The sequence below is a fragment of the Homo sapiens genome, chromosome 13 (genome assembly GCF_000001405.40).
Source record: "Homo sapiens chromosome 13, GRCh38.p14 Primary Assembly".
In the NCBI taxonomy this organism is placed as follows: Eukaryota; Metazoa; Chordata; class Mammalia; order Primates; family Hominidae; genus Homo; species Homo sapiens.
Window position 1 is genome coordinate 113,757,268 of NC_000013.11, and position 17,012 is coordinate 113,774,279.

Genomic DNA, 17,012 nt, shown 5'->3' on the forward strand with positions numbered 1-17,012 from the left:
ATGTATATGTGCATATGTGCATGTATGCACGTATAAGTGTGTATGTATGCATGTGTGTATGTATGTGTATGTATGTGTGCGTGTATGTATGCACACATGTATGCATGTGTGTATGTGCATGTATGTATGCGTGCATGTATGTATGCACACATGCATGCATGTGTGTATGTATGCATGTGTATATATGCATGTGTGTGTATGTGTGTATGTGCATGCATGTGTGTATGTCTGCATGTGTGTATGTGTATATGTGTGTGTGTATTCCATAGCATGTTGCCCTCTGACATGCTGTGCATTTTTCTTGTTTATTGTATTATTATTCATGGCCTCACTTCCCCACCAGGATCCTTGTTTACGTTGCTCATTGATACATCCCAAGTACCTGGAACAGTGTCTGGTATATCGCGGATGTTTAGTAAGTCTTGAGAGGCTCACTGAGTGAACAGTGTTAATTTTCATGGTTTAAAACTTTATATAAATGGTACCATACTCGCTGCCGTACTTGCTGTCGTACTCGCTGCCGTACTGTGCACTTGCATTTTTGCTCCGCGTTCTGTTTTTGGCATTTATCCACATTGATCCATGTAGCTCTCATTTATTTTAACTGCCATGTGGTATTTCGCTGTATATGCCCATTTCTTTATCGCTTCTCCCCGTGTTGGATATTCAGGGTGTGTCCGGTGCTTTGGACACACAGTGTTGTGAGGAATATTCTGTACGCATCTTCTAGCACATGCATACTTCTTGTGGTAGTTTCTCTCTCACAGTGGATGGCCTATTAGAATGACTAGGGAATTCTTAGCTATTAGTTTGTTCCCAGAAGTTCTGGTTCAATTGATCTGGTCTGGGTTCAGTGCTGCAGAAATGTTTTTTCTTTTAAAGACATTCCTGGATGACTTTAACGACAGCCGGGGTTGAGAACCACGGCTCCTGGCTCGAAGGAGCAGATCTATGTTTGTGTTCTTGGGCATATCTAGAAAGAGATATGCTTTCTTTCTGGCTTGTCATCTACTTGCTTCAATTTTCCTAAAGGTTGCTTTCAAAGTGGTGGCACCATGCGTGATCCCAGCGGTGAATGCAGATTCCCACGTTTTCATTAACATTCTTTAAGTTGTTTGACCCTTGGGGTTTTCTGATAGGATGAGGGTGAAACGCATCCTCTTGTTCCCACAGCGTTCCCCTAATTCCGGGGGCTGAGTTTATTGATCGTTCAAGCATCTTCTTTTGTGACGGGACCGCTGATGTCCTTGACTCAAAGATGTTAAAAATACGTTTAGAAGGATCTTTATTTTTTCCTGCTGCTGTACGAGGCACCCTTTCTGGCCCCGTGTTTCCTTGCCCTTCTTTCCAGCAGCAGATTTTACTCAGAACAACTTCAGTGCTGTGGACACAAAGACGCAGGCCTTGGAGAGGCGGGTCAGCCCTGCCTCGGGGCTGCTGAGTGAGGTGCCAGATGCGTTTGTTCCTCATTTACTCATTTGCGTTTGTTCCTCATTTACTCGTTCCTCGCAGACTGGGTTGTAACACCATGTACCACCCTCTGAACCCAGAGATCAAGGGCTGGCTGGCCCTGTAGCCCCAAGGAGCTCCGTCACCGGCCAATGGGGAGGCGAACCCGTGGTGACCCACTCAGCGGCACCGCCAAGGGCTGAGCGTGGCGCCAGCGGCGGAAGGCCCGGGGTCACCGTCCCAGGCCGGGGCTCCGACCCCGAGTCCGCAGGGTCCTCTCCAGGCACCTTCCATCTGGGGTCTGGCTTCCACTCCCGGCCGCGGCGTCCTGATTTCCAGAAACCAGGCGGCCGCTGGAGGGGAGAAGGGGGAGCGGGCGCAGCGGGGGAGGGAGGAGAAGAAACGCCGGAGAAGGGAGAGTAGAGCGAGGAAGGACGCGAGGCGGGCGGAGCGCGGGGAGGTGCAGGGGGCGGGGAAGGGGCGGCGCCGCGAGGGCGGCTCCTGGCGGCGGGACTGTGGCTGTGGCCCCGGGAGAGCCGGGTGGGGCCTCGGGATGCAGCCGCCGGTGCCCGGGCCCCTGGGCCTGCTGGACCCCGCAGGTGAGCGCGGGGCTGGGGGCTCGTCTCGGCTCCTGCGGGGGAGCGTGGGGACCCCGGGGCTGGGACTACAGGTCCCCGGCCGGCCCGGGCGGAACCTGCGCGGAGACGCGGCACGGGGTCTGGTCCCTCCGCCTCCTTCGAGCTCTGTCTTTGGAACACTTTGCATTTCGCACTGGGGTCGGGCGTTCGTCCTACCGGTTCGTTCATTCATTCTCTCTCCCTGTCTCTCTCTCTGTCTCTGTCTCTGTCTCTCTCGCTCTTTCTGTCTCTGCCTCCTCAGTCTTTGCCTTTCTCTGACTCTGTGTCCGTTCCTCTTGGCCTCTCTCTCCCTGTTACGTTTTATTATGAGGAACAGGCGCCCCAAAGTGCGCTCCTTCCCCATCTCTTCCGTTTATTCCAACCTACACCATTTTCCGGGAAAACTTCGTTTGGAAGAGCGAGGTAGCCTTTTCCTGTTTGAACGTGCAGAGGCGCTCACAGAACTGGACAGTGTTGCTTGGTTTCGGCTCGCCCCTCTCTCGTGTTTCTCCCCGGTGTGTTCACGGAATCTCCAATTCTTCCACTTCCCAGACCAAGCCCGCTGCAGCCTCGGAGCCAGGCAAAGGCTGGGAAAACAGGAAACCTGTTGCGTGTTCACCAGTTCGCAAGCCGGGCTCGGGGGCTCTGCCGGGAAGTGGCCAGGACTGGAAGGATGCCGGGTGTCTTCCTGAGGGGGAGAGGGCTGGGCAGATTTCAGAACAAAAGAGAAACAGAGTTCCCTAGAAAGTGAAGCCCTGACGGCTGGAGGGAGGGATGGAGTGGTGTCTAGGGGGCTCTGCCGCTCCCTCAGAAATAATCCAACACAAACTTCTGGGGATTAACCTCACAACCCTTTTACTGCGGCATCGTTCGGAACCGGACGAATTACTGTTACTTAAAATAATCAAATAATTTGGCTTCTTTCTAAAAGAAACCACTATATGCCTTCCAATCTAAAGCAAAATGCTCTATGGTCAAATGTATTAATGTGGATTAGTCTATTGGTGTTTAATAATGATAACTATTATTATTATTTATTAACTAGTTTTATCATTATTAGAATGCCTTAATGTTTAAAAATAGCATCTGACTTAGATTTTCTTCTGACAAAGAACTTTAAACCTTAAAACAATACTTGGAGCTGGTCTTTTTAGTATATGAAACATTGGTGTATCTGGGTAGGATTATGGGTCTTTTTGTTTGGAGCTGGTCTTTTACTAAAATGTATAAAGCATTGGTGTGTCTGGGGTTGGATTATGGTCTTTCTGCTTTGGTGTGTCGGGGTGGATTATGGTCTTTCTGCTTTGGGGTATCTGGGGGTGGGTTATGGTCTTTCTGCTTTGGGGTATCTGGGGGTGGATTATGGTCTTTCTGCTTTGGGGTATCTGGGGGTGGATTATGGTCTTTCTGCTTTGGTGTGTCTGGGGGTGGATTATGGTCTTTCTGCTTTGGGGTATCGGGGGTGGGTTATGGTCTTTCTGCTTTGGGGTATCTGGGGGTGGATTATGGTCTTTCTGCTTTGGTGTGCCTGGGGGTGGATTATGGTCTTTCTGCTTTGGTGTGTCTGGGGGTGGGTTATGGTCTTTCTGCTTTGGTGTGTCTGGAGGTAGATTGTGGGTTTTTCTGCTTTGGGGTATCTGGGGGTGGACCATAGTCTTTCTGCTTTGGGGTACCTGGGGGTAGGATTATGGGTTTTTCTGCTTTGCCCTTCTTTGTTCACTACCCTGGGCATGTGTAAAATCAGGACGAAAGAGGAATTGACGGCTGAGTGATTACAGTTTTACCTGGGATTGTTACTTGGACACCATGACTGGTGTCCCCACATGATTAAATGGAACTCACTCTTCTTTTTGGGCGTTCCAGGTCCGGCTGGCAGGAAGGCCGGATCTTAGAACCCTTCCAAGCAGTGCCACCTCCCATGCTTTGTGACATTCCCCTTCCTGGCTCTGTGGAGTAGAGGAAATGGGTCTGAGGGGCAGGAAGAACCTGACCTCCAGCCTCGCGTGTCTTCCAGGTAGGACCTGGCGTGGGCACAGGCTCATGTGGTTCAGCTCCTCCAGCTAAGGCTGGGGAAGGAGCCAGGAAGGGGAGAGCAGGTGGGATGGGAGAAGTGGGGGCTGGTGGGGAGTGACAAGGTGATATTCTGAGATATCCTAGATGGGCTGCACCTGGGGAAGACTAGAATTAGAAAAATCAGCGCACTTGATAGCAGAGAGGTAGCTGTTGGCCCCTTCAGCTTCACATCTCAGAACTCCTCCTTGCAACTCCAGTGGGAGAAATGCTGGTTAAGAATAGCCGCTACGCCGTCTTAAAGTTCACACCACCCTGATGATTAGCATATGCATTCCATTTACAAAAACCTATATGAGAGCCCACGTATCGTGTCTCACTGGACGCTTATCACAATCTCAAGAGGTGGGTGAGCAGGTGGTTCTCATGATTTCCATCCTACAGGTCAGGAGACTGAAGTGCCTTCATTCATTCCGTACCAGGAGATGTGTCTATGTCCTCATCTGAGCCCCGGGAACCGGCGACAAACAAGAGACAGAGCTCTTGGCTCTCATAGGGTTCTCTTCTCCCAGGCTCAGGGAGATTAAATGGCCGCCCAAGACCACACAATGGGTCTGGACAGACCCAGAATGGTTTGGGTCCAGTCCCTGTAAGCTGCCTCTGCAATAGAAACCTATTGGTAGATATTTTAATTAATAGTTGGGGCACTTAGGAGCACTTTAATTTTCACAGTGCGTGTAATAACAGTATTTCCGGGACAGGAAAAAAAAAAAAATCAAGGAAATTATTCAGGTGATTTTAATTATCTTTCTCCTAAGTGAAAGCCCCTTTCTCTTGAAAATCTGACCTTATAATTATCTCTTATGCTAATTATAAAGATATCCCACCTTCTTTTCTTGAGTTTATTTTTTTTCTCATTTTTATGCTGTGTCATGTATTTATAGAATGTGTTTAAGGTTGGGAGTCTTCTTTTTGTTATCTCTATTATATCTGGAGTCAAAATATCACCATTGTGTAATTGAATGAGATGATTTGCAACCATTGCTCCCAGTGCCCCATGTAAGTTCTACTGTCTTTCTAGACTTGTATAATCTAGGAATCTGTGATAGGAATGCTGATAAAAGGGTGGCTCATACCTTCTGCTTTTTATTTTGTAGCAGATGGGGGGGAAGTTAGACTCAGGAAAGAGGGGTAAACATAGCAAAGTTAGGTTGAAAATGGTTTGTAGGAGGATTTACGTGGTTTCAGAGGAGATGTGTCTAACTCTTCGCATAGTAATTAACAAGTCAGCATGTTACCGATTGACTTGACAAGGTCAGTTAGCCCAGTGGGTCTTGCTGGGCCCCCACTCTTCATGCCAAGGAACCGAGCAGAGCTTCCAGCTTTAAGAACCAGAATCCAGTCACAGGGTTCCTGACAGACGGACGCCCACAGGAGGCTGGGACAGGAGCCCCACGGAAGGTTCTACCTGTGGGTCGAAGCAGACGCTGAGTCATCTGGTTAACTATTTTGAGCATAATATTATATGCATGCAGTGCATTTAATTAAGAAAAATCGCACAACAAAATCCTTTGAGAAGGACAGCGTTTGTCTGATAATTTTCTCAAATACTTAGTCCCATAAAATTTAGTTTTAGAAATTGTATTGCTCTTAAAATACATTTAAACAGTCAAAAGATTGGAATGGGAGCCTAAGGAAAAGCAGGAAAGGCTGAAGCGGGAATTGTGTGAGTTGAAGGCACCTAGCATTTGGCTGCATTGGCAGGTGTTACATGGAGGCTGGTGAGGGTGACCTGGAGCCTCTGGTCATGATCAAATGAGATAAGGAAGTTAGGCTGCTCTGAAAATCGACACACAGCCCAATCCATAGATGGTGTTATTATCATCAATATGATTATTTTGTGTAATTCCACAATAGCTGTTTCATTAACTTCCAAAATGTGGAATTGCATATATTTTTAAATTTTGTGTCCATTTTTAAAAAGTTTACCTACCTTTCTAAAACGAATCAACCAGAACGGAGTTTCACCCACGGGAGGTGCCTGCCTTCCTCTTGCCCACTTGCTCCCAGCGTGGGTTTGCCGTTTCTCACCTCGACTTCCCGACAGAGACCCGGGATCTGTCGCCATCGCTCCTGTCTCTCGGGCAAACGACCGTGAACATATAACCTTTCAGGTTTTTAACAAATTGCAAGATTTCAGTGAAAAAATTACTATAAAGCATTGTGGTCCTAATTTAAGAAAAAAATGTTTTAAAAAGTACATAGTGCATTGAAAAAAGACCATAAGATTTTATGCCTACTTGTTAATTTAGGTTACCATGAATTTTATTTTCCCTTTTGCATTTTTCAGTACTTTATGAGTGTTCTACAAAAAATCACTCTGCTCTTCTGAGCAGCGTAAAAATCACACTTTCCAACATATACCCACTGTCTCCCTTTTCCTTGTAAGAATGTCGTTATCATCTTCCCAACCTTTTCCAGTCCAACGAGGGTTGGCTTTTAGTTCAGAAATACCATGAGAGACACAGGGAAGAACTGTGCGAGTTAGAGGTGGGGAGGAGGAAGGAAGCCTGAGGCTGAGAAGCGAGGGACTGAGAGGCGGAGCTGGAGGAGGCCTTGGGCCGTGTGTTCCGGCTGGCAGGTGCAGCGCCCATCCCCTCATGCAGGGCAGGTGTCGGGTGCCTGGGCCTCGGTCACTTGAGGGGAGTGTCCTCCCCATCCAAAGACAAGAAAGGACGTGCTCCATGCACACAGGAAGGCAGGTGTGGCCTGGGGTGGGATGGGCCGGGGCGTGGGCGTGGGACACGGGGACACGGGTTGGGGCTGGGGGAGCATGACTTTAACAGACACTGGGTGATGGATGTGTAGGTGCCAGGTCCTGGGCCGCCAGTGTGGCCTTGGGGCTCCTGGTGCTGTGCCCGCCCCTGCACCCACCTGCTTGTCACCCCTCTAGGTTTATTCAGTGTGACCCCTGCAGAAGCTGCCTTGGGGACCCGGAGGGCGCAGGTGTGGCCCTGGCTGCAGGGACCCCGAACCCCAGGGCGTGTTCCTGAGGCTGGGTGTGGGGATTGCTCCCTGGCCCGCACCGGGCTGCGGCCTCTGGTGTCTCAGGAGGGTGGCTTTCAGAAGGAGGGCCTCACTCCACACCAGTGGTGCTGGGCTGAGGGGTGCACTGTGCCATCACCAGGCCCCTCAGGGAAGGCTCTGCCCTCTGCCCGCTGCCTGTGGGTGACACATCCGGAGCGCCCTGTCCCCAGCCCTGCTTAAGTTTTCTCCACTGAACTTGGCCTTTTCCAATGCCTGCAGCGTGTGCCTCTGTCTGTCTGGTGTCCCCTCTGCCTCTCACATGCGAGGATGCTCTGCAGGGGCAGGGGTGAAGGGGCAACTGTGGAGAGCACAGGGGTGAGTGTGGCTACTATACTCAGTGTGTCTATGCAGCAACATGTAAGAGAGGCCTTCAGGGAGTGCTGCGAGTGTCTAGCTGGAGACAGCAGGTACAAAGGCCCTGTGGATGCTGCAACAAGCCTGCCTCTAAGGAGGCAGGAGATGGGGCAACCAGGGAGAGGCTGAAACCACTGCCTGCGGCCTGGAGTATAACACTAAGGACAGTGCCACTGGCCGCCTCGGTGCAGTGGGTCCAAGACGGGGGCAGCCTGGCTGGCTGGTGGGAGCCGATGGTTTATTACATTGGCGAATGGAGTGATCTGGTCCCCTCCAAGGTGGAAGGTAAAAAGCGATTTAGGATGAGATTCTTGGGACAAGTGTATCTTTGCAAGGGTCAAGAGGCAGGCAGGGTGCTGTGCCGGGGGCTGTGCTGAGTCCAAGAGGGCCTTGAAGGAAGGCCGTGACCAAGGCCACGCCCTTGCTGGGTCAGCTGGATAAAAATGACTCTCTCAGATCAGCAGAGCAATTCTGCATCTGCACATTGATTTATAGTTTTGTGAAACTCATTTCTGAGGATGTAACAATCCCTTCCTTGGGTGCGATAACCTTGCCTTGCCATTGAGCTCTGCTGATGGGATTGCAGAAGTGTAAATCTTCAGATGCGGACCTTCTAGGGTGTGGACAATGTCTGCACGGCCGTCATCGCTGCCAGCGGCTCTCCAGTGTGCGGTCTGCTTTCCCTGCACACACGCACTTACACATGTGCACACACACAAATGTTGATTTTCAAACTCTTGGAGTAGGAAGACCTTACCATGGTTTTTTAAATCCCCTATTTTGTTTGGAGTCACACAGGGATCAAGATGATTCAGTTTTCAAAAAATAAAGCAAAACAGATGGCACAGCTGGATGGCTGCTGTGTGCGTTCCTCTCTCCCTGCCCCTCCCCTGGTGGCAGCCCCCTCCCCCACTGGGTGTGGCTGGGATAGGCGGATAGAGAGGGTGTGTCTGTGAGCGAATGGTAATGATAAAACAGTAAACAAAAGATGCTCCTGTCCTCCTGGGGACACCAGGGGGAGAAAGTCAGATAGAGGAAGAGGCAGCCAATAGGAAGGAGTCCTTTCTAGTTTGCTTTCTTGAGTTCTGTGACAGTTAGAATTAGGTTTGGCCGCAAATACCAGGCTATCCAGTATAGTGGCTTATGGTCCAGAGATTTTATTCTGTTATCTAATGGAGGTTGGGGGTGGTCCCCTGAGGTGGGCCTGGAGGCAGGCGGGGATAGTGCATCCCAGGACCCCTGGGTAACGGAGCACGGCCCAGAGCCTGCTGGCCTGACGCCCTCCTGAGCCTGAGCCCTCACTGACAGGTCCTCGCCTTCCTCCCCACAGAAGGGCTTTCGAGGAGGAAGAAGACGTCGCTCTGGTTTGTGGGGTCTCTGCTGCTGGTGTCCGTCCTCATAGTCACCGTCGGGCTGGCTGCCACCACCAGGACGGAGAATGTGACCGTTGGGGGCTACTACCCAGGGATCATTGTGAGTGCGCCGGGCGGGCGGCCTGGGCCGGGGAGGGCAGGGTGGTGTGTGGCTCTCTCAGGGTGGAGTCCACGCCAGCTCACAGGGCTGGGGCTGAAGGTGGGGAGGCTTCGATCAGTGCTTGTGGTCGGCAGGGTTATGGCCCCCACAGACATGCACTTCCCAATCCCCAGGACCTGGGACAGTGGCAGGTCCAAGGCAGAGGGGAATTGGGGTTGAGGTCCAAGTTGATCTCAAAATAGGGCCAGGTGCCCTCCATTGTCTGGGTTGGCCCGATGTGGTCACAGGGTGACCAGAGGGCAGGAGGGGGGCCAGAGCCCGGCAACAGGAAATGTCCAAGGTGGAGGAGGGGCCAGGAGCCCAGGATGTCCAAAAAGGCCGGACAGAGCCTCCCCAAGCATCCTGGAAGGATTTTACCCTGAGGGACCAGGTCGACCACCATAGCCCATGGAAGGGGAAAGTAACTTTAAACGATTCCTACCAAGAAGCCGTGGGTCAAAGATCGTATTAGTGACGTGATCGCGTGGGAACGGCCAGAAGGTGGTGGTGCTGACCTCATCCACCCGTCAGGCCAGATTTTGAACAGTAAGGCGGCGAGGTAAATTGATGGTAACCTAATTGGCAAGAATTGGTCACCCAGATTCAAAAGTATCAAGGTTTTTTGAACTATGAAATTACATCCTCTGTCGTTAGTAAAAGAATTCTCCTAAGTGCCTGCATTCTGCACAGTGAACCTCTGTTGGAATGGCTTGGATCAGCTGCGATGCCCTTCACATGCCCCAGAGCCTGGTTGCTACGTCATAAAGTGCTAAAGCAAGATTTTAAAATGCGGCTTCTTCAATCTCATTACTCTCACCTAAAGTACTACCAAGATTGGTAATAATATTGATGACAATCAGCAAAGATGAAAGATTTTTGGCCCTAAGTATTTAGAAATATTTTACAAATACTGTTTATTTCACCATTATATTTTCCTTTGTTTATATCTTAGGGTGTGCCTTAGACATCTACACTATCTACCTGTGTATAGTTTATGAATAAACATATACAAATAGTATCTATGCAGAAAAAGCTTTATCAGTAAAATTGCAAGAGGCCAATGGTGTGGGGACCTTGGCCTCATGTGAGGGGCTTTTCTGCTTCCTGGGCAGAAAGGGGAGCCCAGAGGGCAAGTGGCTGTGAGGAGGGACCTCCAAGTGATTTGCGAAACATCAAGATCAGCCTTGAGTGGTTGTTTTTTTTGGTTTGTCCTCAAGCTTATTTAAGAGCTGCCTCAGAATAACATAATGAAAAACATCAATGGCTAATGCCCAAGCTATGCTCTGTAAAGAATCTACCTTCTGGGCAATGAATTAATGCTGTGCTGACCAGATTGAAATGGCCTGTAGTACAGACAGTTCTGAAAGCAAACTAGGGAGACAACAAATAAAAGCAGCTTCAAGGAAACGTGGCTAAGAGTCACTTCTGTGGAGACTTTCTGCCAATGTAGAGACTTAAGAAGCTGATCTCAGAAGAAGCGGCCAGAACGTGAAAACATCTCCACATTTTCAAGAAAGGTGTGGTTTTTTTCAAATCCCCAAAAAATAAAACGTAGTGTAACAGATGTATTTTAATACATGTATATCGAAGTGAAATTTTGATATTTTTGACGTGTGGAGTTGAACTGCAGTATTTTGAAGCTCAGCACATGAAGAAATATTCCTGTTATCCCTGGAGAATTCTCAAACCGTTGGTGAAAGCCACATGTGTACGTGTCTATCACCACAGACACACAGACAATTACAGAAAAGGCAAAACTATTTACATAAAGAAGTCCGGTTTCCAGTGCATTAAACTTGACACCACGGCCCCAGCAACTCCAAGGCTGTGCCGGGCGGGCCACCCCTTCCAACAGACACTCACTGGGAAGTGCGACCGGCCCGGCGCACCTGCGTGGGAGCAAGAGCCGTCTTAGGCCTCGGCACGGTCGTTGGCAGGTCCATGTTGGCTGCTCTGAGCCAGATTTTCGGTGGGTGTTGCTGAAATGCATGTTCTTCACACTGATTTTAAAAATTCCTCTGCCAGGTGGGCGTCACCTGCCAGGACGGGCCCTGGGTGGAGGGTGCGGATGCCCGGCCGGTGGCCTCTGTTCTAAGACAGCACAGTCCCATGTCTATTTCCCGACATCCCAGTATCATTTTCTGCCCAGAGCTGGGGCTTCCTGTGGAGTAAGGGGGCTCTGCCGGACCCCTGGTGGCCTGTGCTGCAGCCCGGGGCCCCCTCTGTGCCTGGCCCAGGTGCCCCCTCTGTGCCTGGCTCAGGTGCCCTTTCCCCACACCTGGCACCTCCCTGCTAACGGTCTGCCCTGCTCACTCTCCCGAAGCAGCAACCAGAGTTAGGCCGTCTGAGCAGGGGTCACTGGTGGCCCTTGTGCCTGGCAACCCTTCTTTTGAAACACGGCTGTAGTTCCCTAATACCTTACCCAGGAGCCATGCTCAGGGGCATCTCAGGCCTGGAGAAGACGGGACAGATGGTGGTGCTTGGTGGCCCTGGGTTCCCGAAAAGATGTTGTCTCTGGGGGAGGAGTGGGAACTTCTCTTACCCCAGAGTCACAAGCCAAACAGATGCATCATTAAAAACCTCTGAGCAGAGAAGACAGGACAGGTGATGTTGCAGAGATGCCTGCCCAACGCCAGCAGACGCACCTGCTGCTCAGTGGTTGAGGTTCTTGAGGTAGGGATGTCTGGCCTTCGTCCCTGGATAAAATGCCTTTGAGGGCGGGATTATTTGCTTTAAATGTCAGTGTTAAGCTTCTAGGCACGTTAATGAGTGTTTCTCTCTCGTTCTTCCTTTGGTTTTAGCTCGGCTTTGGATCTTTCTTAGGAATTATTGGCATCAACTTGGTGGAGAATAGAAGGCAAATGGTAAGAAAGTACATGGGGTGGTGGGGAGCATGAGTCCCTCATCAGGGGATGGTACAGCTGCACTGGGGCTCTGAGAAGAGTCAGCCCTGCCTCCCCAGCACACTGGTGTCTACAGGACCAGCTCTGAGGTTCCCGGGCTGTGGCCTGCACAGTCCTGGATACAGGGTTCAGCGAGTACCATTCACACCTTAGTCTAAGCGAGCATGGCCCTGGGTTGCTGGTGTATCAACCTCACGTGGTGTGCAACCACCAATGCTGAGGCCTGGGAAGCTCAGAGAATGCATGAAGTTTGGGACGGGGGTGGCAAATTAAATTAAGTCCTAGTGTGTAAAGTTCAGGCAAAAACATGTGCATAAGCCTCTCTTCCTTTTGAACCAGTGGCTCTAGAGTCTTGTTTTTCGTCTGAGTTTGGTTAATGTTTATCTTGCCCAGACTAAGAGGAGAGGTAAAGACATAAAACCAGGAGGGAGCCCCCGGTTCACATGGCAGCAATGCAGAGTGAAATCCAGACACTGCCTGTCCATGATGTTCGTGGCTGTATGCGCGGCAACAGCGATCAGGTTCAGCTGGAAGTCTGTTTTGTTGATGCACTGTTTTGGGGACTATAACTTTAAAAACAAAAACTGGCTAATTTTGTCAGTTCACGGTGGCAGCCAGGATTGAATTTTAAGAGCAGGGTTTAGAGGGGAGGTGGTTGGGCCATTTCTGCCTCATCTCCCAGTTGTTGCTTCAGAGCAGGCTGGAGTTCTCAGCTCTTCCCTGCACCGGCTGTCATGTTACTGTATCATCCAGCGTGCAAATGACCTGTGTCGGGCCCCCAACCCCTGCCTGTTCCCAGTTCCCAGGCCGAGAGGGAGGGTGAGATGGCTGGGCCGCGGTGTATGCCCTCGGAACCCTGTATGTTAGTCTGTTTTCACACTGCTGATAAAGACGTACCCAAGACTGGGCAGTTTACAAAAGAAAGAGGTTTAATTGAACTCACAGTTCCACGTGGCTGGGGAAGCCTCACGATCACGGCGGAAGGTAAGGAGGAGCAAGTCCTGTCTTACGTGGATGGCAGCAGGCAAAGACAGAGCCTGTGCAGGGAAACTCCCCCTTGTAATAACCATCAGATCTTGTGAGACTTACTCACTATCATGAGAACAGCACAGGAAAGATCTGCCCCCCATGATTCAACTGCCTTCCACCAGGTCCCTCCCACAACACATGAGGATCCAAGATGAGATTTGGGTGAGGACACAGCCAAACCATATCACCCCGCATGGGACCCAGCAAACTCCCACTGCTGCCCAGGAGACTGACCCTTGGGCAGATGGAGCCTGACCGTGTGAGGGTGGGAGGTCCCTGGAGGGTTGGGGGTGGCTGCAAAGACACTGGGATTCTGGTGGAGCAAAGCGTTCTGTTCTGCATAGTAGAGACAGTGTGCACTGCAGGGTGAGCTGCCGTTCTTGGCTAGCAGTTGCAAAGAGACGGAGAGATAGGCCCGGCATTTCCTCTCCCACCCACCCCCTGTTGTTGGCTCCCGAGGGTGGGCGTCACAGCTGACCAGGGTGGGCAAAGGCCTCACACACACCAGTCACAGAATGGTGTTGGAAACAGACGCCACCTTTGGGAGCCAGCATGCCCCCATGATGGTCTCTAGACAGCATCTCTTCAGAGTCTGGAGCTGCTTGGTGCCTGTAGGGAGTTGGGTGGGCCTGAGGAGGGAAGGCCTCCTGAAGACTTTTCCATAAGATTTCCCCAAAGAGGCAGAAGCTGGGTGTGAAGCTGGGCTTTGGCGATGCACAGGATGGGTGGACAGTGTGGGTCTGTTTTTCTTTCCTTTTAAAAAAATGGCTTTAATGAGATATAGTCCACATTCCATATAACTCACCCATTTAAAGCACACAATTCAATGGTTTTTAGTGTATTCCCAGATATGTGAACCATCAGCACAGCCAGTGTTAAAACATGAATCACATCAGCAAGAAACCCACACCCTTCTCTTAGCACCCTACCTACCCAGCCTAAGCAACCAGGAATCAACTTCCTGTCTCTGTAGATTCCTACTCTGGGCCTGCCTGCGGAGGGAGTAATGTGTGATATGTGTTCTCTGTAGATTCCTACTCTGGGCTTGTGTGTGGAGGCAGTAACGTGTTATGTGCGGTCTCTGTGTCTGGTGTCTGGCACTGCGCATGGTGTCTTTAAGCTTCCTCCAAATTTCCTTGCTTTCTATGGCTGAATAATAATCCACTATATGGGCCGGACACGGTGGCTCATGCCTGTAATCCTAGCACTTTGGGAGGCCAAGGTGGGCGGATCACGAGTTCAGGAGTTCAAGACCAGCCTGACCAACATGGTGAAATCCTGTCTGTACTAAAAATACAAAATTAGCTGGGCATGGTGGCACATGCCTATAATCCCAGCTACTCAGGAGGCTGAGGCAGGAGAATCACTTGAACCTGGGAGGCAGAGGTTGCGGTGAGCCGAGATTGAGCCATTGCACTCCAGCCTGGGTGACTGAGCAAGACTCTGTCTCAAATAATAATAATAACAATGATAATAATAATAATAATCCACTGTATGGATGGGCCACACTTATCCATACACCAGTTGATGGACATTACAGCTGTTTACAGACTTTGGCTGTTGTGAATAATGCTGCTGTGAACATTTGTACATAGGTTTCTGTGTGAAAATGCATTTACATTTCTTTTGGGCATGTACCTAGGAGTGGAATTGCTGGGTCATACAGTAATGCTGTTTAATCATTTGAGGAACTGCCAGACTGTTTTCCAAAGTGGCTGCCCCATGTTACATTCCCACAGACAGGCATGAGGGCTCCTGTTTCTCCACTCCCTCACCAGCACTTGTCACTGACTGTTTGATTCTAGCCATCTAATGTGTGATAAGTGGTATCTCATTGTGGTTTTGATTGCATTTCCCTGATGATTAGTGATGTCGAGCATCTCTTCATGTGCCTATTGGCCGTTTGCATATGTTCTTGGAGAAATGTCTGTTCATTTCCTTTGCTCATTTTTACATTGGGCTGCCTTTTCCTGTTGAGTCATCAGAGTCATTTATGTATTCTAGATACAAATCGCTTCTCAGATATGTGATTTGCAAATATTTCCTCACATTCTGTACATTGCCGTTTCACTTTCTTAATGGTGTCCTTTGAGGCACAAAAGTTTTTAATTTTGATGAACTCTAATTTATTTTTTCTTTTGTTGTTCATGCTTTTGGTGTCATATCTAAGAATGTTTTACAAATCTAAGGACATGAAGATTTACCCCTAGATTTTTCTAGAAGAGTTTTGTAGTTTTAACTCTTCCATCTGGGTCTGTGATCCACTTTGAGTTAACTTTTGCGTATGGTATGAGGTAGGAGTTATTATAGTTTTAACTCTTCCATCTGGTTCTGTGATCCACCTTGAGTTAACTTTCTTCATGGTGTGAGGTAGGGACCCATGTTCATGCATTTACGGACATCCAGTTGTCCAAGCACCATTTGCTGAAAAGACTGTTCTTTTCTCATTGAATGGTCTTGGCACCCTTGTTGAAAATTAATTGGCCATACATATATGGTTTATTTGTGGACTTTTAATTCTATTCTTTTAATCTATATGTCTTTGCTTGTGCCGGTACCACAGTCTTGATTACTGTAGCTTTAGAGTGAGTTTGAAATAAGGGCTTGTGAGTCTTCCAGCCTTGTTCTTTTTCAGGATTACGTTGGCAATTCTGAATCCCTTGCAATTCCATATGAATTTTAGAATCAACTGGTCAATTTCTACAAGGAAGCCAGCTGGGATTCTGGTAGGGATGTGCTGAATCTGTAGCTCAGTGTAGGGAGTGTTACCATCTTAATATTAAGTATCCCAATCCATGAACATGGAATGTTTTCCCAGTTATTTAGACCTTCTTTAGTTTTTAAAACAATGTTTTGTAGTTCTTAGAGTATAAGTTTTGTATCAAATTTACTTATTTTTCAGTATTTATCAAATGAAGTACTTACCAAATTAAATTTATTCTTAGGTACTTTATTCTTTTTGAGGCTATTTTGAGTGGAATTGTTTTCTTAATTTAACTTCTGGGTTGTCCATTGCAAGTGTTTAGAAATACTGTTGACTTTGTATGTTGATCTAATATCTGCAACCCTGTGGAACTCATTTCTTTGTTCTAGTAGTTCTTTAAAAAATGGATTCCTCAGGATTTTTTAATCTACTGGAGCATGTCAAATAGAAACACTTTTGCTTCTTCCTTTACAATCTGGATGCATGGGGACCATTTCTATGGCTTCGGTAAAAACACATGGGTACTGGAATGACAGGATAAAGACCCAAGAGTGACGGCCACTGCCAGAGCCGTGTGGTGTTCACCTGTCCACGGGCTTCCCTCACTGGGGTGAGGAAGGCACCCGGATGCCCCAGACCAGAACCTCTGAGGGGTTGTCTGTGATGCCTGTGCAAGCTCATTTCTGCCTTTTCAGGAGAGGCATTCTTCTGGGCTGATGTTGTATGGTGAACCCATATTTCACAATCTCACATTAATTTAATACTTGTGGTAGCTGGAACCTGGCTGTCCGTGAGTGCTGCGTGATCGTAGGAAACTTACTGAAGCATTTCAGCCTCAGTTTCTTCATTTGCATGGTGGCTGGGAACATTTGAGCCAATGCACATGAGAATGTCTTGTTCATGACAGGTTTCGAGAAAGCGGTGGTCATTGTTATACACTGGTTTTAAGTGCATAGATGTCAGAACATTCAAGTTATTTCAAAAGGCAGCAAGGCAGGCTGTCAACGTCAGCTACAGAGAGAACGAGTGTATTTCCAGTGCTTCCAGATACACGTGAACACTTTTTTCTCAATTTATTTTTATTTTAAATTTTTACCATAGAAAACTTTAAGCACATACAAGGGTGAAGAAAATCGCAATGAACCCTCCTTGCCCCCCACCCAACTCCATCACTTGTCCTGTTCACCCCCCGCCTGCTTCTTCTCTTCCTATGTTGTTTAGAAGCAAATGCCAGACGTGGCATCATTTCATTTATAAAGATTTCACTCTGTTCACTTAAGGGATGAAATCTGATCATTAGGAATGGCTTCGCCATTATCCCTACCCATTATCATGTTAGTCTCCGGT

General features: G+C 48.9%; 1 protein-coding gene across 2 annotated transcripts in view, besides 2 other annotated features; it reads left to right on the top strand.

Moving 5' to 3' along the window:
• Nucleotides 1,119-1,620: an enhancer, noted in NCBI's record as "H3K4me1 hESC enhancer chr13:114461359-114461860 (GRCh37/hg19 assembly coordinates)". NCBI's record gives its function as "activates a minimal SCP1, AML or CMV promoter by ChIP-STARR-seq in naive H9 embryonic stem cells {active_cell/tissue: H9 hESC(naive)}" and the evidence as "EXISTENCE:reporter gene assay evidence [ECO:0000049][PMID:30033119]".
• The window catches only part of TMEM255B (transmembrane protein 255B), a 57,770-nt gene continuing 42,716 nt past the window's right edge, over nt 1,959-17,012 (top strand). For both annotated transcript variants that reach the window (NM_182614.4, NM_001348663.2), the window contains exons 1-3: nt 1,959-2,048; nt 8,848-8,990; nt 11,831-11,893. In NM_182614.4, the coding sequence (NP_872420.1) occupies nt 2,003-2,048; nt 8,848-8,990; nt 11,831-11,893 (252 nt within the window). In that variant the 5' untranslated portion in view covers nt 1,959-2,002. The remainder of the gene's footprint in view (nt 2,049-8,847; nt 8,991-11,830; nt 11,894-17,012) is intronic.
• Nucleotides 2,177-2,678: an enhancer, noted in NCBI's record as "H3K4me1 hESC enhancer chr13:114462417-114462918 (GRCh37/hg19 assembly coordinates)". NCBI's record gives its function as "activates a minimal SCP1, AML or CMV promoter by ChIP-STARR-seq in naive H9 embryonic stem cells {active_cell/tissue: H9 hESC(naive)}" and the evidence as "EXISTENCE:reporter gene assay evidence [ECO:0000049][PMID:30033119]".